Source organism: Homo sapiens, chromosome 3, assembly GCF_000001405.40.
Source record: "Homo sapiens chromosome 3, GRCh38.p14 Primary Assembly".
NCBI lineage: Eukaryota > Metazoa > Chordata > Mammalia > Primates > Hominidae > Homo > Homo sapiens.
In genome coordinates, this window is record NC_000003.12 from 80,701,527 (window position 1) to 80,727,152 (window position 25,626).

Sequence of the window (25,626 nt, forward strand, 5' to 3'; positions counted from 1 at the left end):
AACTATTTTTTGATGATTGTGCACTTCTTTCTTTAAACATATTTTGTTTGTCTATCAGTCAGCTTTATTCCCCAAATTTCAATATTAATCTGACTCATCAAAATTATTCACAGCTTTAAATTATATTGTATCATTTCTCTACCCGAACATTTGTCTCTAGATAAGTCCTAAGGAAACTTTATTAAGATATTCTCCAATTAAAAATTGTACTGGGAGGTATTAAACTTACAGTGTTTATTTTTAAAATGTACATTAAATCCAGATGAATATTTGCTCAGGGACCTGGCGGGAAACAGATGGCACAATCAAACTGGGTATTTGAAGAAAGTTAAAAATAAAAAATTATTACAAATATGTTGGCTGGGTTTAGGGAATTTAAGAAGGGCAATTTCAGTACCAGGGCTGGGAAGTCATTTCCACCCTAGGACTGAAGTGGCAAGGGGAGAAGGTGCTTACTAGAAAGCAAAGCATAGCTCTACAAAGAGGGTTTTGAAAGGACTTGCACCTAAAGAAAAATGCAGCCAACCTGTGACCCATCAGCTAGGGAGCTGCGGTACAAGTACCCCACGCCTCTTTTCTCCTGGTCTCCTATTTTCTACCGGTGCCTCTCATTGTCTGATCCAAGTAGCGAACTGAATGCAACCCCTTCTACTTAATCTTCCCAAGTAGACAGCAAGATGAGAAATAATTAAGAATGGATGTGCTGAATAGGAGTGGTCGAAGTGGGAATCCTTTGAATTTAGGGGGAATGCTTCCAACTTTTCCCCATTCAGTGTGATGTTGGTTGTGGGTTTGTTGTATGTGGCTTTTATTATTTTGAGGTATGTTTTTTCTATGCCTAATTTCTTGAGGGTGTTTTTATCAAGAAGAGATGCCGGATTTTATCAAATGCCTTTTTTGCATCTACTAAGATGCTTATATGGTTTTTGTCTTTAATTCTGTTTATTTGGTAAATCACATTTATTGATTTACAAATGCTGAAACATCCTTGAATCCCTGGAATAGAACCCACTTGATTACTGTGTATTATTACTATTATTATTATTATTATTATTATTATTATTGAGATGGAGTCTCACTCTGTCTTCCAGGCTGGAGTGCAATGGCGCAATCTCTGCTCACTGCAACCTCCTCCTCCCAGATTCAAGCGATTTTCCTGCCTCAGACTCCCGAGTAGCTGGGACTACAGGCAAGCGCCACCACGCCCAGCTAATTTTTGTATTTTTAGTAGAGACGGGGGGGTTTTACCATTTTGGCCAGGATGGTTTCGATCTCTTGACCTCATGATTTGCCCACCTCAGCCTTCCAAAGTGATGGGATTACAGGTGTGAACCACTGCGCCTGGCCATCTTTTTGATGTGCCGGTAAATTTGATTTGCTAGTATTTTGTTGAAGATTTTTGCATTTATGTAAATCAGGGATATTGGCCTGTAGGTTTACATTTTTGTTGTTGTGTGTTCTTGCCTGGCATTGGTATCAGAGTGATGCTGGTTTTGTAGAATGAGTTAGAGGGGATTCTCTCCTACTCAATTTTTTGGGACAATTTTAGCAGGATCAGTACCAGTTTTTGTACATCTAAATATTGCCCAAAGCACTCAACAGATTCAACACAATTCTTATCAAATTACCAATGTCATTTTGAACAGAATTCAGAAAAACAGTACTGAAATTCATATGGAATTTAAAAAAAAGAGATCAAATAGCCAAAGCAATAGTAAGCAAAAAGAATAAAGCTGGATATATCACATTACCTGACTTCAGATTGTACTTTAAGGCTATGTAGTAACCCACACAACATAGTACTGGTATAAAAATAGACCCAAAGATCAATTGAACAGAATAAAAAACCCAGAACAAAAGTGAAATACCTACAACCAACTGATCTTTGATAAAGTTTACAAAAATATACACTAGAGAAAGGACACTCTATTCAATAAAAGATGCTTGGAAAATCAGGTAGCTATATGCAGAAGCATAAAACTGGACCCCATCTCTCATCATATAAAAATTAAGTTAAGATGAATTAAACTCTCAAAACTATCAATGTAAGACTTGAAACTAAAGTTCCTAGGTAAAATTTATGAAAACCTCTTCTGGACAGTGGCCTAAGCAAAGAATTTATGACTTAAGTCCTCAAAAGCAAACACTACCAACACAAACATAGACAAATTGGACTTAATTAAACTAAAAAGCTTTTTACAGCCAAAGAAACGATTAACAGAGTATGTAGGCAACTTACAGAATGGGAGAAATATTTGCAAACTATGCATTCGACAAAGGGCTATTATCCAGAATCTACAAGGAACTTGAAAAGCTCAATGAGAAAAAAGCAAATAAGCCAATAAAAAGTGGGCAAATGACATAAAAAAATTCTCAAAGGAAAACACCCAAGTGGCCCAAAAACCTATTAAAATGCTAAACATCATTAATTATCAGAAAAATGTAAACTAAAATTACAATGAGCTATTATCTTATACCAGTCAATATGGCTGTTATTAAAAAGTCCAAAAACAACAAATGTTGGCAAGGATACAGAGAAAAGGAGACACACACTCCTTGTCAGAATGTAAATTAGTACAACCTCTACAGAAAACAGTATGGAAATTCCTCAGAGAACTAAAAATAGAGCTGCTATTTGATTCAGCATTCCTACTCCTAGGTTTCATCTAACCTATAGAAAAGAAACCATTATAGTAAAAAGTCACTGTTATTAGTCTGTTCTCACACTGCTAATAAATACATACCTAAGACTGGGTAATTTATAAAAGAAAGAGATTTAATTGACTCATAGTTCCACATGGCTGGGGAGGCATAATTATGGCTGAAGGTGAATGATAAGCAAAGTCACGACTTACATGGCAGCAGGCAAGAAGGCATGTGTAGGGGAACTCCAATTTATAAAACCATTCAGATCTCATAAGACTTATTAACTATCATGAGAACAGCATGGGAAAACCCTTTGCCCATGATTCAATTACCTCCCACCACATCCCTCCCATGACACATGGGGATTATTACAATTCCAGCTTAGATTTGGGTGGAGACACAGAGCCAAATTGTATCATTCCACCCTTGGTCCTTCCCAAATCTCACGTCCTCACATTTCAAAACTAATCATGCCTTCAAGTCTTAACTCATTTCAGCATTAACTCAAAAGTCCACAGTCTAAAGTCTCCTCTAAGACAAGGCAAGTTCCTTCTACTTATGAGCCTGTATAATCAAAAGCAAATTACTTCCTAGATATAATGTGGGTACAGGCATTGGGTAAATACACCTGTTCCAAATGGGAAAAATTGGCCCCAAAAAAGGGGCTACAGGCCCCATGCAAGTCCAAAATCCAGTGGGGTAGTCAAATCTTAAAGCTCCAAAATGATCTCCTTTGACTCCATGTCTTGTATCTGGGTCATACTGATGCAAGAGGTGGGCTCCCATGACCTTGAACAGCTCCACCCCTGTGGCTTTGCAGGCTACAGTCCCCTTCCAATTGCTTTCACAGTCTGGCGATGAATGTTTGCAGCTTTTCTAGGTGCTGTCGGTGAATCTACCATTCTGGAATCTGGAGGATGATGGCCCTCTTCTCATAGCTCCACTAGGCAGTGCCCCGGTGCAGACACAGTGTGAGGGTTCCAACCTCACATTTCCCTTGTGCACTGCCCTAGCAGAGGTTCTCCATGAGGGTCAGGCCCCTGCAACAACCTTCTGCCTGGACACCCAGACGTTTTCATACATCCTGCAAAATCTAGGCAGAGGTTCCGAAACCTCGATTCTTGACTTCTGTGTACCTGCAGGTTCAACACCATGTGGAAGCTGACAAGGTTTAGGGCATGCACTCTCTGAAGTCATGGCCCAAGCTGTACCTTGGCCCTTTTTAACCACAGCTAAGGTGGCTGGGATGCAGGGTACCAAGTCCCTAGGATTCACAGAGCACGGGGATCCTGGGCTGGGCCCAAGAAACCATTTTTTCCTCCTAGGCCTCCAGTCCTGTGATGGGAAGGGCTGCTGTGAAGGTCTCTGACATGCCCTGGAGACATGTTTTTCACTGTCATGGAGATTAATATTTGGCCCCTCATTACTTATGTAAATTTCTGCACCTGGCTTGAATTTGTCCTCATAAATAGGTTTTTTTTTTCTATTGCATCATCAGGCAGCAAATTTTCCAAACTTTTATGCTTTGCTTTCTTTTCAAACATAAATTCTAATTCCAAGTGATATATTTGTGAATATGTAAAATTGAATGCTTTGAACTGCACCCAAATCACCTCTTGAATGCTTTCTGCTTAGAAATTTCTTCCGACAGATACCCTAAATCATCTTTCTCAAGTTCAAAGTTCCACAGATCTCTAGGGCAGAGGCAAAATGCCACCAATCTCTGCTAAGGCATAACAAGAGTCACCTTTGCTCCAATTCCCAACAAGTCCCTCACCTCCATCTGAGACCCCCTCAGCCTGGACATTATTGTCCGTTTCACTGTTAGTATTTTCATCGCTATTCAATTCTCTATAAGTTCCAAACTTTCCCATATCATCCTGTCTTTGGAGCCCTCTAAAGTGTCCCAAACTCTGCCTGTTACCCAGTTCCAAAGTTGTTTCCACATTTTTGGGTATCTTTACAGCCACACCCCACTTAACTGGTACCAATTTACTGTATTAGTTGGTTGTCATGCTGCTAATAAAGATATGTGTGAGACTGGGTAATTTATAAAGAAAAGAGATTTAATTGATTCACAGTTCCACATGACTGGGGAGGCTTCACAATCATGGCTGAAGGCAAATGAGGAGCAAAGTCACATCTTACATGATGGCAGGCAAGAGGGCATGTGCAAGGGAACTCTCCTTTATAAAACCATCAAATCTCATAAGTCTTATTCACTATCATGAGAACAATACAGGAAAACTCCACCCCCATGATTCACTTACCTCCCACCAGTGCCTCCCAGGACATGCGGGGATTATTAAAATTCAAGGTTAGATTTGGGTGGGGACATAGAGCCAAATCATATCAGTCACCTTTACTGGTATGTTAATGACCATACTATTCACAATAGTATAGTCATGGAATTAAGTGTCTGTTGATGGATAACTGAATAAAGAAAATGCAGTGGGTAGACACACACACACACACATACATATACATACCAGGAATACTACACAGCTATAAAAAGGAATTAAATCATATCTTTTGCAGCAACATAGACAGAACTGGAGGGCATTATTCTAAGTGAAGTGACTCAGAAACATAAAGTTAAAAAAATGGTACGTTCTTACTTATAAGTAAGAGCTAGACAATGGACATACAAAGAGGAGTAATAGATTTTGGAGACTCCAAAATATGGTAGGATGGGAGGAGGTTAAGAATGAAATATTACCTACTGGGTACAATGTATGCTATCCAGGTAATGGGTACCCTAAAAGCCCAGAATTTCCCACTACACAATGTATCCATAAAATACAAATGCATTTGTGTTCACTAAATCTATAAAGATTAAAAAAAAAAATCATGGATGTGGAGAGCAAAGATAAAACATTCAGCACAATATCTAAATGTTTAAATCTCCTTTCCCTAGTAATTCAAATCAGTGTGAAATAGTGGAAAAAGCAAGGGCTTAGGAGTCCCATAGATCTGATTTTGACCCTGGGTCCCCACCATCTTTTTTTTGTTTCCTTGAACTTTTTTACTTAACCCCTCTAAGCACTTCAAATTTTCTATGGACATTTAAGATAATACATGCAGAGCACTGAGCTCAGTTAGACACCAAATGCATACTAACAGCTCTAATTATTTCTGATTAATGAACAGGATCATAACTTAAATTGCTTTTATGTAAATGAAACCCCACATATCCCTATGCCAGTACACACTGTTCTAAAATTGAAAGAATTTTCAATTGAAAATTGAAAGTAAAAACTAGGGCGGAAATTTTTAAAGTACCAAACATCACCTAAGAAATTCGTTAAAATGTACATTCCTGAACCCTTACATATAGATTTGGTTTATTCTTTCTGGAAAAGTTCCCAGGAATTTGTCTTTTTAAAAAGAATCTGATTTGTTCCTGATGTTGGCGGCCTATCGGACCAATTTGACTCCCTCCCATAAATACGCATGTGTAACCTATAGTAGTGTGTTCATTTATTAATTTGTATGAATATATAAATGTAAATCAGTTAATTCAGTTTTTAACTTTTAGAATTACCTGTAGTTGATATACAGTTGTAAGTGGAGAATGGGGTAACATATTAAATATAATAAACATAATTAATAATAAATCTGGAAACATTAGATATACAGTCATACATTGATTAACAACAGAAATACAATCTGAGAAATGCATTCTTAGGTGATTTTCTGATTGTGTGAACAACACAGAGTGTATTTACACAAACCTGGATGGTATAGCCTACTACACATCTAGGCTATATAGTACAGCCTATTGCTCCTAGGCTACAAACCCATATAGCATATTACTGTACAGCATATTGCTGAACTAAATACTCTAGAAAATTGTAGCACAGTAGTATTTGTATATCTAAACATAGAAATGATACAGTAAAAAAATATGATATACAAAATAAAAATGGTACACTTGTAAAGGGAAGTTACCATGAATGGAGCTTGCAGGACAGGAAAGCTATAGCTTTTTTCTTCATAAACTTTTAGTTGTGTTAACCTTTGACTCTTGGAATAACATTTAGCTTAAAACAAACACAATGTATGGCTGTAAAAAATATTTTCTTTCTTTATGTTATTATACAAGCTTTCTTAAATCTTTATTTATTTTTACTTTAAAAAAATTTTATTAGAAAACTAAGACATAAACACACACGCTAGCCTAGGCCTACACAGGATCAAAATCATGAATATCACTGTCTTCCACCTCCACATCTTGTCCCACTGGAAGGTCTCCAGGAGCATTAACACACATGGAGCTGGAATCACCTATGATAATGTGTTTTTCTGAGATATCTCCTTAAGGAACTGCCTGAGGCTGTTTTACAGTTAACGTTTTGTTTTTGTAAGTAGAAGGGGTATACTCTAAAGTAATAGTTTACTAAAATATTGTATAATAAATACTAAGCGATAGGAATTTTTCAGCTCCATCATAATCTTACGGGATTACCATCACATATGTAATCTGCTGCTGAACAAAACATCTTTATGTGGCCCAGGCAATCTCATTTTATTTGTGCAATTTCTCTTTATTTACACACTCAAATAGAATTGGAATGATTAATCTATTCACTCACTCCAGATAGCATAATTAATTTTTAGTCATCAAAATTTATGACATTTATTTATTGAAATGTTATCTCTTTTATATGAAATTTACAATTTATGTCATTATAAATGTACTTTGCTATCTATAGCTACCTAATGCATATATTTCAGTTTTTGTTTTAATATATCATTTGAAATTTAAATTTAAGATGTATTAAGATTATTCTAGTTTTATTAATCAGGGCTTTCATTGTCATACAAATGAGACAACTGTCTGCTAGGTTCCGAATGAATGAATTCTACCTAGTTAACGAGCATAATGAAAAAGTAACTATGGCTGATACCAATTAACTCTTTATAATGTTATTCACCACTGAAATGTGCCAGTATTTGATTTATAGATGGCCAAATAGGAATAGCTCTGGTCTGCAGCTCACAGGGAGATCAACACAGAAGGCTGGCGATTTCTGCATTTCCAACTGAGGTACCCAGCTCATCTCACTGGGACTGGTTAGACAGTGGGTGCAGCCCATGGAGGGCAAGCTGAAGCAGGGCAGGGCATTACCTCATTTGGGAAGCACAAGGGGTTGGAGAACTCCCACCCCTAAGCCAAGGGAAGCCATGAGGGACTGTGCCATGTGGAATGGTATATTCTGGCCCAGATACTACACTTTTCCCTCAGTCATCACAATCTATAGATCAGGAGATTCCCTCGGGTGCCTACACCACCAGGGCCCTGGGTTTCAAGCACAAAACTGGGCAGCCGTTTGGCCAGACACTGAGCTAGCTGCAGGAGTTTTTTTTTCACAACCCAGTGGTGCCTGGAACACCAGTGAGAGAGAACCATTCACTCCCCTGGAAAGGGGACTGAAGCCAGGGAGCCGAGTCGTCTAGCTCAGCAGATCCCACCCCCATGGAGACCAGCAAGCTAAGATCCGCTGGCTTGACATTCTCACTGCCAGCACAGCAGTCTGAAGTCAACCTGGAATGCTTGAGCTTGGTGGAGGGAGGGGTGTCCACCATTACTGAGGCTTGCATAGGAGGTTTTTCTCCTCACAGTGTAAACAAAGCCACTGGGAAGTTCAAACTGGGCTGAGTCCACCACAGCTCAGCAAAGCTACTGTAGCCAGACTTCCTCTCTAGATTCCTCCTCTCTGAGCAGGGCATCTCTGAAAGAAAGGCAGTAGCCCCAGTCAGGGGCTTGTAGATAAAACTCCCATCTCCCTGGGACACAGCACCAGGGGAAGGGGTGGCTGTGGGTGCAGCTTCAGCAGACTTAAAAGTTTCTGCCTGCTGGCTCTGAAGAGAGCAGTGGATCTCCTAGCACAGCACTTTAGCTCTGTTAAGGAGCAGACTGCCTGCTCAAATGGCTCCCTGAGCCCTGTGCCTCCTGACTGAGAGACAACTCCCAGCAGGGGTCGACAGATACCTCATACAGGAGAGCTCTGGCTGGCATCTGGTGGGTGCCCCCCTTGGACGAAGCTTTTAGAGAAAGGAACAGGCAGCAATCATTTCTGTTCTGCAGCCTCTGCTGGTGATACCCAGGCAAACAGGGTCTGGAGTGGACCTCCAGCAAACTCCAGCAGAGCTGCAGCAGAGGGGCCTGTTAGAAGGAAAACTAACAAATGGAAAGGAATAGTATCAGCATCAACAGAAAGGACATCCACACAAAAACCCCATCCAAAGGTCACCATCAAACACCAAAGATAGATAAATCCATGAAGAGGAGGAAAAATGAGTGCAAAAAGACTGAAAATTCCAAAAACCAGAATGCCTCTTCTCCTCCAGAGGATCACAACTCCTTGCCAGCAAGGGAACAAAACTGAACAAAGAATGAGTTTGACAAATTGACAGAAGTAGGCTTCAGCAGGTTGGTAATAACAAAATCCTCTGAGCTAAAGGAGCATGTTCTAACCCAATGCAAGAAAGTTAAAAGCCTTGAAAAAAGGCTAGAGAAATTGCTAACTAGAATAACCAGTTTAAAGAATAACATAAATCAACTGATGAAGGTGAAAAACACAGCACAAGAACTTTGTGAAACATACACAAGTATCAATAGCCAAATCAATCAAATGGAAGAAAGGATATCAGAGATTGAAGATCAACTTATGAAATAAAGTGTGAAGACAAGATTAGAGAAAAAAGAATCAAAAGGAAGAAACAAAGCCTCCAAGAAATATGGGTCTATGTGAAAAGACAAAACTTATGTTTGATTGGTGTACCTGAAAGTGGCGGGGAGAATGGAGCCAAGTTAGAAAACACTCTTCAGGATATTATCCAGGAGAACATCCCCAACCTAGCAAGAGAGGCCAACATTCAAATTCAAGAAATACAGAGAACACCACAAAGATACTCCTTGAGAAGAGCAATCCCAAGAAACCTAATCATCAGATTCACCAAACTTGAAATGAAGGAAAAAATGTTAAGGGCAGCCAGAGAGAAAGGTCGGGTTATCCATAATGGGAGGCCCATCAGACTAACAGCGGTTCTCTCGGCAGAAACACTATAAGCCAGAAGAGAGTGGGGGCCAATATTCAGCATTCTTAAAGAAAATAATTTTCAACCCAGAATTTCATATCACATCAAACTAAGCTTCATAAGTGGAGAAATAAAATCCTTTACAGACAAGCAAATGCTGAGAGATTTTGTCACCACCAGGCCTGCCTCACAAGAGCTCCAGAAGGAAGCACTAAATATGGAAAGGAACAACCAGTACCAGACATTGCAAAAACATATCAAATTGTAAAGATCGTTGACACTATGAACAAACTGCATCAACTAACGGGCAAAATAACTAGCTAGTATCATAATAACAGGATAGAATTCACACATAACAATATTAACCTTAAACATAAATGGGCTAAGTGCCCCAATTAAAAGACACTAACTGGCAAATTGGATAAAGAGTCAAGACCCATCAGTGTGCTGTATTCAGGAGACCCATCTCACATGCAAAAACACACAAAGGAATTTCAAAATAAAGGAACGAAGGAATATTTACTAAGCAAATGGAAAGAAAAAGAAGGAGGGGTTGCAATCCTAGTCTCTGATAAAACAGACTTTAAACCAACAAAGTTCAAAAGAGACAAAGGAGGGCATTACATAATGGTAAAGGGATCAAAGAAACAAGAAGAGCTAACTCTCCAATATATATATACCTAATAGAGGAGCACCCAGATTCATAAAGCAATTTCTTAGAGACCTATAAACATACGTAGACTCCCAGACAATAATAGTGGGAGACTTTAACATCCTACTGTCAATATTAGACAGAACAATGAGACAGAAATTTAACAAGGATATTCAGGGGTTGAACTCAGCTCTGGACCAAGCAGACCTTATGGACATCTACAGAACACTCCACCCCAAATCAACAGAATATACATTCTTTTCAGCACCACATCACACTTATTCTAAAATTGACCATGTAATTGGAAGTAAAACACTCCTCAGCAAATGCAAAAGAACAGAAATCATAATAAACAGTCTCTCAGACCACAGTGCAATCAAATTAGAGCTCAAGATTAAGAAACTCACTCAAAATTGCACAACCACATGAAACTGAACAACACGCTCCTGAATGACTGTTGTATAAATAAATTAAGGCAGAAATAAATAAGTTATTTGAAACCAGTGAAAACAAAGACACGATGTACCAGAATCTCATGGACACAGTTAAAGTAGTGTTGAGAGGGAAATTTATAGCACTAAATGCCCACAGGAGAAAGTGGGAAAGATCTAAAATTGACATACTGACATCACAATTAAAAGAACTAAAGAAGCAAGAGCAAACAAATTCAAAAGCTAGCAGAAGACAAGAAATAACTAAGATCAGAGCAGAACTGAAGGAGACAGAGACACTAAAAAAAAAACCTTCAAAAAATCAATAAAACCAGGGGCTGGTTTTTTGAAAAGATTAACAAAATAGATAGACTGTTACCCATACTAATAAAGAAGAATAGAGAGAAGAATCAAATAGACACAATAAATAACAATAAAGGGGATATCACTACTGATCCCACAGAAATACATACTACCATCAGCTAATACTATAAACACCTCTACGCAAATAAACTAGAAAATCTAGAAGAAATGGATAAATTCATGGACAAATATACCCTCCCAAAACTAAACTAGGAAGAAGTCCAATCCCTGAATGGACCAATAACAAGTTCTGAAATTGAGGCAGTTAATTATTAGCCTACCAACCAAAAAAATACCTCAGGACCAGACAGATTCACAGGCAAATTTTACCAGAGGTACAAAGAGGAGCTGGTACCATTCCTTCTGAAACTATTCCAAACAACAGAAAAAGAGGAAATCCTCCCTAACTCATTTTACGAGGTCAGCGTCATCCTGATAGCAAAACCTGATAGAGACACAACAAAAGAAGAAAATTTCAGGCCAATATCCCTGATGAACATCCATGAGAAAATCCTCAATAAAATACTGGCAAACCAAATCCAGCATCACATCAAAAAGCTTATTTACCATGATCAAGTTGGTTTCATCCCTGGGATGCAAGGCTGGTTCAACATACTCAAATCAATAAATGTAATCCATACACAGACAGAACCAATGACAAAAACCACATGATTATCTCAACAGATGCAGAAAAGGCCTTCATTAAAATTCAACATCACTTTATGCTAAAAACTCAATAAACTAGGTATTGATGGAACGTATCTCAAAATAATAAGAGCTATTTATGACAAACCCACAGCCAATATCAGACTGAAGGGCAAAAGCTGGAAGCACTCCCTTTGAAAAGTGGCACAAGATAAGGATGCCCTCTCTCACAACTCCTATTCAACATAGTATTGGAAGTTCTGGCCAGGGCAATCAGGCAAGAGAAAGAAATAAAGGATACTCAAATAGGAAGAGAGGAAGTCAAATTGTTTCTGTTTGCAGATGACATGACTGTGTATTTAGAAAATCAAAACCGGATGTGGTGGCTCATGCCTGTAATCCCAAAACTTTGTGAGGCTGAGGTGGGCAGATCACCTGAGGTCAGGAGTTCGAGACTAGCCTGACCAACATGGAGAAACCCTGTCACTAGTAAAAATACAAAATTAGCTGGGTGTGGTGGCACATGCCTGTAATCCCAGCTACTCAGGAGGCTGAGGCAGGAGAATAGCTTGAACCCAGAAGGCAGAGGCGTGGTGAGCCAAGATTGTTCCACTGCATTTCAGCTTGGAAAAAAAGAGTGAAACTCCATCACAAAAAAAAAAAAAGAAAAGAAAAGAAAAGAAAATCTCATTGTTTCAGCCCAAAATCTACTTAAGCTGATACACAACTTCAGCAAAGTCTTAGGATACAAAATCAATGTGCAAAAATCACAAGCATTCCTGTACACCAATAATTGTCAAACAGAGAGCAAAATCATGAGTGAATGCCCATTCACAATTGCCACAAAGAGAATAAGATAACTAGGAAAATAACTTACAACAGATGTAAAGGACCTTTTCAAGGAGAACTACAAACCACTGCTCAAGGAAATAAGAGAGGACACAAACAAATGGAAAAACATTCTATGCTCATGGATACAAAGAATCAATATAGTGAAAATAGCCATACTGCCCAAAGTAATTTACAGATTCAATGCTATTCCCATCAAGCTACCATTGACTTTCTTCACAGAATTAGAAAAAAACTATTTTAAATTTCATATGAAAATAAAAAAGAGCCCATGTAGCCAAGAAAATCCTAAGCAAAAAGAACAAAGCTGGAGGCATCACGCTGCCTGACTTCAAACTATACTACAAGGATACAGTAATGAAAACAGGATGGTACTGGTACCAAAACAGATATATACACCATGGAACAGAACGGAGGCCTCAGAAATAATGCCACACATCTACAACCATCTGATCCTTGACAAACCTGACAAAAACAACCAATGGGGAAAGGATTTCCTATTTAATAAATGGTGTTTGGAAAACTGGTTAGCCATAGGCAGAAAACTGAAACTGGACCCCCTCCTTACAACTTATACAAAAATGAACTCAAGATGGATTAAAGACTTAAAAGTAAGACCTAAAACCATAAAAACCCTTGAAGAAAACCTCGGCATGCCATTCAGGACATAGGCATCTCAAAGACTTTATGACTAAAACACCAAAAGCATGGCAACAAAAGCCAAAATTGACAAATGGGATCTAATTAAACTAAAGAGCTTCTGCACAGCAAAAGAAACTATCATCAGAGTGAACAGGCAACCTACAGAATGGGAGAAAATTTTTGCAATCTATCCATCTGACAAAGGGCTAATATCCAGAATCTACAAGCAACTTAAACAAATTTACAAGAAACAAACAACCCAATCAAAAAGTGGGTGTAAGAACATGAATAGACACTTCTCAGAAGAAGACTTTTATGTGGTCAACAAACATATGAAAAACAGCTCATCATCACTGGTCATTAGAGAAACGCAAATCAAAACCACAGTGAGATACCATCTCACACCAGTTAGAATGGCGATCATTAAAAATTCAGGAAACAGCAGATGCTGGAGAGGATGTGGAGAAATAGGAACGTTTTTACACTGTTGGTGGGAGTGTAAATTAGTTCAACCACTGTGGAAGATAGTGTGGCAATTCCTCAAGGATCTAGAGCCAGAAATACCATTTGACCCAGCAATCCCATTACTGGGCATATACCCAAAGGATTGTAAATCATTCTACTATAAAGACATATGCAAACGTATGTTTACTGGAGCACTATTCATAATAGGAAAGACTTGGAACTAACCCAAATGACCATCAATGATAGACTGGATAAAGAAAATGTGGCACATATACACCATGGAATGCTATGCAGCCATAAAAAGGATGAGTTCCTGTCCTTTTCAGGTACATGGATGAAGCTGGAAACCATCATTCTCAGCAAAGTAACACAGGAACAGAAAACCAAACACCAGATGTTCTCACTTATAAGTGGGAATTGAACAAGGAGAACACATGGACACAGGGAGGAGAACATCATATACCGGAGCCTGTTAGGGGGTGGGGGATAGGAGAGGGATAGCATTAGGAGAAATGCCTAATGTAGATGATGGGTTGATGGGTGCAGCAAACCACCATGGCATGTGTATACCTCTGTAACAAACCTGCATGTTCTGCACATGTATCCCAGAACTTAAAGTATAATTAAAAAAATGAAATATGTTTATCAAATATTTAATGCTCTGAAATTTTTCATGTTTAAATAAAACATTTCTCCTGTCAGGTTTTATTTAAAAGCCTCAATTTAAAATATTTTAAATATAATCTTAACTAAATTATAGTAAACTAAATATTGCTTTTGAACCATATAGAGCTTCAAAGATTTCTCTGAGAACCTACAAATGAGTTTACTAAAGAAACAGGAATCAACTAAAAATGTCAACAAAAACACAAAAAATAATTTATTATAGAAATAAGTCAAGCCAAATAGCATTACATAAGAAAAAATGAAAAGGAGTAAATACTTTGAACTTTTCTGATGCAGTCAACCCCTTGCCTACAGCAAATATGTCATGTTTCTTCTTAGAGGCACTCTGACGAGACCTGTGGATGTAAGGATTATCAACATACTTTTCCATTAAGAAGAGATTGAAAAACAATTCCCAAAAGAACATAAGGAAACTAGTCTACAGCAAGCAGTGCTATTGACTGTATGTAATTTATTTGCGAAACTAGGTTCCCCTTGCAATGTAAGATTACAGGTTTATGCCTCTTTCATGGTCATTCATTTCTGTTTGTTTTTCAACCTATTTTCCACAGCATGGTTCCAACATTCATTTCAGATTCTACATGTAATCTACTTGAGGAAAGATTCAAACTTTCTTAAATACTGTAACAAATTTGTGAATTTTAAAAAATCAAGTATGAAAACTAAGAAAACTAAGATATGTTTGCTGCTGGTGATTCCTTTCTCTACAATTTGCATGAGATGATTATTAATGTTAATTGGCACATTCCTTATGACAGAATAAAGCTTAATACTCCTGTCTGATACCAATTTCCTTAATGTGGATGATTTTGAGGAAGATCATTGTAGACTGAGAATATTTCTCAGTGAAAAGACACCTAGAAAATTAAGATTATAAATGCTCCAAATTATTGGAAATATTAAACAGTCATATTTTTATAGAAAGTTATTCTACTAGAGAAATGGTAGCTTTTTTTTTTTTTTTTTTTTTTTGAGATGGAGTCTCATTCTGACACCCAGGCTGGAGTGCAGTGGCGTGATCTCTGCTCACTGCCATCCCCACCTCCCCGGTTCAAGTGATTCTCCTGCCTCAGACTCCTGAGTAGCTAGGATTATAGGCAGGTGGCACCACACTCAGCAAATTTCTTTATTTTCAGTATTGACGGGGTTTTCACCATGTTGGCCAGACTGGTCTTGAACTGGCCTCAAGTGATCTGCCTGCCTCAAACTTACAAAGTGCTGGCATTACAGGCATGAGCCACCATGCCTGGACAAGAAATGGTAGCTTTTTAATCCAATAAAAGTGAATACAAAATATTCAGACTCTTTAGTGTTTTCTTTAGATTTTCATTTACTTATATTTGCTTTACCTGCCCACCCATCAGCATATATTTACTGGGCACTTATGTAATATAGGGGCACAACACATGGACTATAAAGAATACAATGAGATTGGTGCTTGATAACCTAATTATGGTGGTTAATATCAGCATTAATTATAATACTTGGCATACCTATAATATATACATATATATATACTTATTTTGATTTACATTCAGAATTATACATAGTACAATTCATGTGTCCTTTAGTTATGGCTTAATGTTTGAATCTTTTATAAGTTTAGCAATGTTCAATATGAAACTCATTATTGGTCAGGAATAGGCAGAAAGTTGCTGATTCACCCACCTAGCATAAAACATTAAATTTTAAAACAAAACGAATCAGAGGTTCAAAGCAGAGCAAGGTTTATATATATTTACCTTTGTGTAAAACTAACTTTTTTTAATTCATAGAGGCACAGCAAGAATTTACTTAGTCATGTCAGTGGAGTTGTGAAGTTATGTTATTTATGTAATTTTCTGAAATATCTCCATATCTCAAAATGACAATATTGCTTTCTAATTCCCTTGATTATATTTCAGACAAATTAGTGTTATAAGTCCTTTATGGCAATACCATAACTTAAAACATTATGCTTTTTACACAGTATATTCACCATTGCTTGACATCTATTTTTTTAATTGTAAGAAAAAATTCTAAAAGGGAACTTCCACAATTATATTAGTTTCCCTCAAATATAGAAAATGAAGACTTTTATAGAACTTATTTTCATAGAAGAAAGTTATAGGACAGAGGGAATATTTGTGATCTTTACTGACAGATGTGAATGAGAAGGAATATCATCATTTTTATATAGACAAGCAACCAAGTTTAAAATATGCTTTCAAATCTCTTTCAAAGTGTAACAGTAAACTATTATGTCCTGAAGAACAATCTACAAATAACCAATACAAGAAAATTAAACTGCACAAAAATCAGAATATAGCTTTTCACTTTACAAAGCATCACTTTAAGAACAAAATTTACTACAAAGTACTTCTTGATATTAGGATACATTAAGTAAGCTTGAAATAGATATACTTAAAGAAAAACAAAAATAGTAAAATAAAATGCATCTGATGGGCGGCAGATAAAAAACAATTGCTAATACCAGAAAAACCTCAAAGAGGGCTTAGACACATCTTACAGTGAAGTTATAGAAGAGTTTATTTTGGATGAGAGATGGCATTAATAAACACGTTGCTTTCTCTGGAATGTTTCTCATATTAAATATTCACATGATTATATATGCAATGACTGAAATTGCAAAGAGATGCCACGCCTTTTGAAAATAATTTATAAATAATATCATACATAAATAAGTGTGCTTCTAAAATAGGTTACTTTGTTTCTTTCAGTAAATGCTGTTTGTTAAATGTTTCTTTCATGACTTGAAAAAAGTTTCTTAGCTTACTGCAAAAGTGTAATGTTATGCTACAGCTGATAGATAACGATATGATATTCTATTCATTCCAGTTTAAAATAATTTGATCTTTGAAATGTAAATTATAAATTTAAGCAATTCACTCAATATAAAAGAATTATAATCATGAGGGTATATTCAATATACTTAATTGACTATAGTCCATATCACTGCTTATAAACTTTCCAAGCAAATGGCTTCTACTTTTGTGTGTGTGTGTGTGTGTGTGTGTGTGTGTGTCTATTTAACTTGGGACTGAACACTAGGCATATATTTATCCTAATAAAATTATCATTTTTATTTTACTTTATAGGTTTTTGGAAGGAGCCTTCATTTATGCTAATAAAATTATCATTTTGTTATACTTTATAGGTTTTTGGAATGAACCTTCATTTATCCTAATAAAATTATCATTTTTGTTATAATTTATAGGTTTTTGGGATGAACCTTTGGAAGCATAGCCAGGATAAAACTTTATTGTGTTTGCATAGCAGTCAAATATTTCAAAATCTTTCTCGCAGAATCATAAAAGCATGAGAAACTTGCAGCTTAGTTTTTTTCCTTTATATGTAAGCTATAAGGTTAATTGCTAAGATAACGAAACAAACAGATGCAGTGAAGAGTGGTAATAACAGAAAGCTTCCTAGAGATTGTCAATTTACCAAACGATTTGTAAATTACTAAATCTTTCATTATCAAATGTATTCACCCTATGTTCTATGGCATGCTGTTTGAAAGCAGTTGCTTTTCAGTGTTTGCCCTGTTGGTATCATCCCCTCGATCACAGAAAAAAATAAAATCCTTCTGTGACTAAGAACCCTGAATGTAATTTACTTCACAGAGTTGTTTCTGGGGAAAAAATAACTTAAGACATGCATGTGAATATTCAAAAGGGAACAATGATGCTGAAGGGTTACCGAGAAAGGAAGAACTTGAGAATACTAATAAAGGACTTTCCATTTGCATACCCTGAAAATAACTCTGCCCAAAAGATTAGTCCAAAGTGTTATTACTTGCAGAACTCTGATTGTCATTAGCCTGGCACTGGCATCACCATTCCCATTAGTACCCAGATGGACTGTGAGAATGGCATAAACAATTGCTCAAATGAATCTACCCACTATTGGTCTCTATCAGTCAGACCAGTGGTGCTATTAAGATAATGCCCCTCCTACTATGGCTTCAGCTTTCACCTGGCAAAGCTCGTATGTTTCTATTTACACAAATTAAACAATGTTGAAAGAAAACAAAATTTGTATTTAAAAGACAACTTAAAGAAGAAGAAATGTGTGCTAGGATTTAAGAGTCCTGGTACTCACTTCTGGTTTCAACTCTTCCTATCTATATATCAATATCAATAACTGTATATATATACACATACAAGGAAACACACACATATACTCACAGAGCTATCTTAAATTTCTGAGTATCAATTTCTACAAAGCGAAGAACATACTATAATGATTTTCTACTCCTGATCCTGTGAGAGGTGTTCATACTTATTAAAACAGGCAATAATACTATTCAAATGTAATGTGATATTTCTGTCTGGATGCATTTTGTTCTAGTTCACAAATAAATTATCAATCGTTGTGTGCTTTTTGTGATGTATATTCTAATTAAGAAAATAAATAAACTGGTTTATCAAAACTTCTTTCCAGGACACTTACTCACTAATGAATTTATTAATTCTTTTACTAAATATTTAGTGAGTGATTTCTATTCTTCAGACATTGTGATTTGTTGTGGGCTAGAGATATTCTGTATGTGTTCCATGGAACTTACATTGCAGTTGTAGAGACTCATAATAAATAAAGTAACAAATATATGCTAACACCTCCAGTAGTGATAACTACTAATAAGAAAAATTAAGCAGAATAAAATCATAGTTATAAGCTGGGATATTGGGGATATATATTTGAATGAATATTTATGAAAGGCATCTCTGAAGAGAAAAAATTTATACTCAATAAGGTTGAAGCACTTACCTCAGGTAAAACTCCAGGAAATCATAAAAGCTAAGTAAAACTCAGATATGCCAAACACTAAAATAATGTCCTAAACATTGTGTGATATTAGTCCTTAATGCAATATTTATAAAATATGAATGGTCATGTAAATATTTTAATGACAAGTTAAAGATTAAAAAAATAATATTTATATACCATTGCATTTTCCTTGCTATCCACTGATGGCCTCCTTTTTCAGATATTAAGAAAAATCTTACTTAGAATTTATATTATTATATTTTCTTGCACATTATTATAATACAAAGCACTGACAAAATGCTTTAAATACCGTGATGCAAAATCAGTATAATCCTGTTTACAAGAAAATATGTAATATTGACAGCTTGGCTGAAAATTCAATTTAAATTTAAAGGCAACCTATACTTCTAGAAAAACAGAGACCAAAGAATTATGCTCCGAACACCTCCGATTCAAGATTCTGGGAGCCATTTAGGGAGACTACAGATGAACATTGAAGGAGTTCGCCATTCCTACTGCATATTTGGAAAGATGGTCAATAACTTTTTCAGTGTGGGGATATTTTCTTTTTCTTGCTAGGGGATAGTCTCTAATAATGCTTTCAAAAAAGGGTTGCAGGTCATAAGCTTTTATATTTTCCAAATTCGTAAAAAAGGTCATCATTTTGCCTCATATTACAATGATGTTTTTGTTTTGTTTTATTTATAATTTAAGGAGTCTATGTTCAAATGTACCTCCCCTTCAGCACTTTAAAGACTATTCTATTCTCCTTTTGTGCCAATAATTGATAAAGCCACAAAGAAATGATAAATGCTACAGGTGATGAATACCCCATTTACCCTGATGTGATCATTACACATTGTATGCCTCAATCAAAATATTTCATATACCCCCATAAATATATACACCTACTATGTACCCATAAAAATTAAACATTAAAAAATAAAAATTGATAAGAAAAGTTTGTTGTCATATGTAGGCAATCTTTCACCTATTTCTCCCACAAATCCTCAATGCATTTCCCTGGTAACTCTTAGGATTTTGTTTTATTTGCTTGATTTGAAATTAAACTCTCATGTGGTGTACATGTATGTATATGCTGTGTGTGTGTGTGTAAAATGTATATACATATACTGATGTATATATTTGCATGTGGTTTTACTATTCTCTGTCTTCTAAGCCTGGGACATACTTGGCTTTTTCTTATTCAAATATTAGTTTTCATCACTTCCCAATAGTGTTCCTTCTCGGACCTCTGTACAATTGATGTTGCAATTTTTAAACATCTAGTCTATGTTGATTGGGGGAAATGTTTCTCCACAATTTTGATGTTTGTTTCCATGTTGAGAAGACAAAAATTTGGAATCCTTTAACACTGCCCCAAAGAGTGACATACTTATTTGCGGGTTTTGAAAAATGTCTCTCTGTCCCATCAGCCTTTTGTTTTGACCTGTTAAGATTGATTGCTAGACTATCTTTATATATAAAGTTCATTGACAATTCCAGGAAAGAAAGCTAACATCCTTGTCCATAAGTCCAGAATTTTATTTACCCTGTGATGTGGTTTGGCTGTGTCCCCATGCAAATCTCATCTTGAATTGTAGTTACCATAATCTCCAGGTGTTGTGGGAGGGACCTGGTAGGTGGTAATTTAATCATGGGGAACATTACCCCCATGCTGTTCTCTTGAGAGTTAAGTTCTCATGAGATCTGATGGGCTTTTTCTCTCTTTTGATCAGCACTTCTCCTTGATGCCACCACGCAAAGAAGAACTTGCTTGTTTCCCCTTCTACCATGATTGTAAGTTCCCTGAGGCCTCTCCAGCCATGCTGAACTGTGAGTCAATTAAACCTCTTACCTTTAGATATTACCCAGTCTCAGTTTGTCTTTATTTGCAGCATGAGAATGGACTAAACCTTGCTAAGAAGCAGAAACCCCATATGCTCAGTGTCATGAAAAAGCTCATGTTACCAGTCATCAGAAAGTTTGTTCTGCCTTTCATCCAAGCTCCTAAACACTGTTTCTGCCTAATGAACAGATCTCCTTTCTCTTCACTAACTAATGTCTCTCACTACAGTGACCAACCCAAGTAACATTTGGGCTCTTTCTGCCCCCATCCTTAATCCTTGTTTCATCATCTCCACACCCAGAACCCCCTTGGTGTGGATCCTACATTCCATAGATGTAAACCTAAGTTTTTATCTTGGCTTATGTATTTCAACAGTTTTCAGTTCTTCAATGATTACTCACAATTTCTGGCTCTTCAAGATTTCTCCTCTTTGATTACTAATGTATCTATTTCTTTATTTTTAAAACTTTTATTTATTTCTAAGATGTGACATGAAATGGAAAGACTGCAGTGTACTCTTAGTTCACTGTCATAAAATCAGATTTATCCAGAATCATAAAGGAATATTTACTTCAACAAAACTAAAATATTTTTTCTTTTGTTTTGACAAAACAAACTGGCAAAACATACTGTATTTGGCTTTGACAAGAAAATGAACAAGACACATTCACCCATTCCATATTATAATAAAATCCAATTCTAGTACAATATTCTTCTAACAACAATATGGCAATGATTTATATTTAACTTTAAAATAATTGTGTGTCTATCTCACATAACTTGTTCATTGTCTTTTAAAGTGTGGCAATAAACCAGGCATCTCTGTTATGTATTAAGAATAAGATTTCATTATAAGTTTGAATAAGGCAGTAAATCAAATTAATCACCTTTAAGATGTAATTAAAAATATACCTCCAGGAAATAATAATTATTCTAAATTTTTAATATTTAAAGGGCCATCTATTTTTTTATCTTCTATTTAATGCCCTTAAGTATTTTTTTTCTCCTTGTTGCAGGAAAAAACCTGTTACTGTATTTTCCAGAAAGTCCTTTTGTTTTATACTTTCTGGTCAGATGCTGCAAATCAGAAACTTGCGCACAATTGGAAAGTGAAAAGCGAAGAAGTCACAATTCTCAGCATGAAGCTAAGGCTAAGATCAGAAAGAGTCCTTGTAAATTACTTGCTTTTCTGTTGTAGAGAGCTGAGAAGCTCTCCAGCACAGTGTAAGCTTTCTGCCAATGCTTGGACTCTGGGTATCCTGAAACTTCTTTCCCAGGCATTCTAACAGTTGTGTATATGTGTATATATAAATTACATTAGATGTAATGTATATAAAAATATTTTGACATTTTAATAAATTAAATGGATGAAAGTATACATATTTTAATGCTGAATAAAAGTTACCAGAAACATCTATGTAATGTTTTTTGTTGTGGTTTCTACAGTTTAGTTTTTTATTTGTTACAGCCATGCCATTCCTCTCTGCATGAAAATACAAGCATGACTACTTCTTTAAAGAAACTGCAACCCACAATCATGTTCCAAGGCAGCTGCAAGATCACTAAAGCAACTTTCAATGAGTAACTTTCTCCATCATTCCATGATTCATGCCACTTAGACTGAAATGTAACGCACAAACAGATTTAATGTCAACTCTGGCGGTAACAGAGCTACTCCTGCTCCCTCAAAAATCTTTATATATATATATATATATATATGTTCTGGAATACTTGGTAGAACGTGAACGTGCAGGTTTGTTACAAAGGTATACATGTGCCATGGTGGTTTACTGCACCCATCAACCCGTCATCTACATTAGGTATTTCTCCTAATGCTATCCCTCCCCTAGCCCCCCACCACCCGACAGGCCCTGGTGTGTGATGTTCCCCTCCCTGTGCCCATATGTTCTCATTGTTCAACTCCCACTTTTGAGTGAGAACGATATAATGCTTTTAATAAACAATGTGCAACTATAAAAAATTTGAAGCATATAGCCACAATACATCTAAGTGAATTCAAAAGTCAGGTAATTAATATAATGACTTGTTAATAATTATGAAATTCCTATAATTTATTTTTCCTATAAGAATAGAAACAAGATTTTAAAATATTAAAAATGAGTTTTCTAAAAAAAAATCAGCATTTCAACATTGTCAAACAATAAATTAGACCTAAATTAAGGAATAATAAATGACAATCTTTTTATTTCCCCAATGCACTTGACATAAATACCATTCAAATGTCACTAAGGAAATGAAACCAATTCAATAAAATTTTTTTTTACTTGAAATAAATGTTATAGTTGTGGCAAAATTTTAGGGGTTGAGTAATATGAAATTTTTCATATTTTTCTAAAGCCCTGAAATAAAGTATGTGAATGTTTGTGAATGTACACACACAGACACACACACACACAATGAAGAGCTGTAAATAATCTGTATCCATTCAAGTCACTACACTGATTCTCCTTTATAAACTGCATGACTGAGTCTCCAATAACTCACTGAGACATAGGCAGTTTTAGTTGCAACTCTTCTTTGTTTGTTTGTGTTTTTTATTTTCTCAGACAGAGTCTCGCTCTTTCACCCAGGCTGGAATGCAGTGGCACGATCTCAGCTCACTGAAACCTCTGCCTCCCGGGTTCAAGCACTTCTCTTGCCTCAGCCTCCCAAGAAGCTGGGACTACAGGTGCCCATCACCATGCTCCACTAATTTTTTTATTTTTAGTAGAGATGAGGTTTGACCACATTGGCCAGGCTGGTCTCGAACTCCTGACCTTGTGATCTGCCTGCCTCAGCCTCCCAAAGTGCTGGAATTACAGGCGTGAGCCACCGCACCTGACCACAACTCTTTTTAATTGATTATTGCTATGATGAATTTCACCTAATTTTTTTTAATTTTATTTTTTCATAAGTTTTTGGGGTACAGATGGTATTTGTTTACCTGAGTAAGTTCTTTACTGGTGATTTGTGATATTTTGCACCCATCACCAAGCAGTATACACTGCATCATGTTTGTAATCTTTTATCCCTCGCTCCTCCCACTCTTCCCCCCAAGTCCCCAGAGTCCATTGTATCATTCTTACGCCTCTGTGACCTCATACTTTACCTCATCCATATCTGTGAGAACATAACACTGTTTGGTTTTCCATTCCTGAGTTACTTGACTTGGAATAATAGTCTGCAACGTCATTTAGGTCACTGCAAACGCTGTTAATTCATTCCTTTTTATAACTGCGTAGTCTTCCATCATATATATATACCACCGTTTCTTTATCCACTCGTTGATTGATGGGCATTTGGGTTAGTTCCACGATTTTGCAATTGTGAATTGTGCTGCTATAAACATGCGTGTGCAAGTGTCTTTTTCAAATAATGACTTATTTTCCTCTGGGGAGATACCCAGTAATGAGATTGCTGGATCAAATAGCAGTTCTACTTTTTGTTCTTTAAGGAATCTCCACACTGTTTTCCATAGTGACTCTACTAGTTTACATTCCCACCAGCAGTGTAGAAGTGTTCCCTGTTCACCGCATCCACACCAACATCTGTTTTTCTATTTTTTTTTTTTTTGTTACAGCCATTCTTGCAGGAGTAAGGTGATAACATATTGTACTTTGGATGTGCATTTTCATGATCATTAGTAATGCTGAGTATTTTTTCATATGTTTATTGGCCATTTGCATATCTTCTGAGAATTGTATATTCATGTCCTTAGCCCACTTTTTCATAGGATTGTTTGATTTTTTTCTTACTGATTTGTTTGAGTTCATTGTATATTCTGGATATTAGTTCATTGTCAGATGTATAGATTGTGAAGATTTTCTCCCACTCTGTGGGTTGTCTGTTTACTCTCCTGGCTGTTCCTTTTGCCATGCAAAACTCTTTAGTTTTGTTAGGTCCCAGCTATTTATCTTTGTTTTTATTTCATTTGCTTTTGGGTTCTTGGTCATGAAATCCTTGCCTAAGCCAATGTCTAGAAGGGTATTTTTTCCCCTATGTTATCTTCTAAAAATTTTAGTTTCTGATCTTAGATTTAAGTCTTTAATCCATCTTGAGTTGATTTTTGTATAAGGTGAGAGATGAGGATCCAGTTTAATTCTCCTACATGTGGCTAGCCAATTATCCCAGCACAGCATCTGTTGAAAGGGTGTCCTTTTTTTTTTTTGCTTTGTCAAAGATCAGTTAGCTGTAAACATTTGGGTTTATTCCTGGGTTCTCTATTCTGTTCCTTTGGTCTATGTGCCTACTACTATATCAGTACTGTTTTGGTGACTATGGCCTTACGGTATACTTTGAAATCAGGTATTGTGATACCTTCTTTTGTTCTTTTTTGCTTAGTCTTGCTTTGGCTATGTGGGCTATTTTTTGGTTCCATATGGATTTCAGAATTGTTTTTTTCTAATTCTGTGAAGAATGATGGTGGTATTTTGATGGGGATTGTGTTGAATTTGTAGATTGCTCTTGGCAGTATGGTAATTGTCACAATATTAGTTCTACCCATCCATGAGCATGGGATGTGTTTCCATTTGTTTGTGTCATCTACCATTTCTTTCAGCAGTATTTTGCAGTTTTCCTCG

At 36.3% G+C, this 25,626-nt stretch overlaps 2 long non-coding RNA genes across 6 annotated transcripts in view; one reads left to right on the forward strand and one right to left on the reverse strand.

Annotated features, from left to right (window-relative positions):
• LOC105377176 (uncharacterized) overlaps positions 1-20,991 on the forward strand; it is a 42,562-nt gene extending 21,571 nt beyond the window's left edge. The window contains exon 3 of the long non-coding RNA XR_940989.3: positions 20,937-20,991. This is a non-coding gene — a long non-coding RNA (uncharacterized LOC105377176). The remainder of the gene's footprint in view (positions 1-20,936) is intronic.
• The window catches only part of LOC105377177 (uncharacterized), a 250,124-nt gene that overhangs the window by 181,302 nt on the left and 43,196 nt on the right, over positions 1-25,626 (reverse strand). The window lies entirely within an intron of this gene.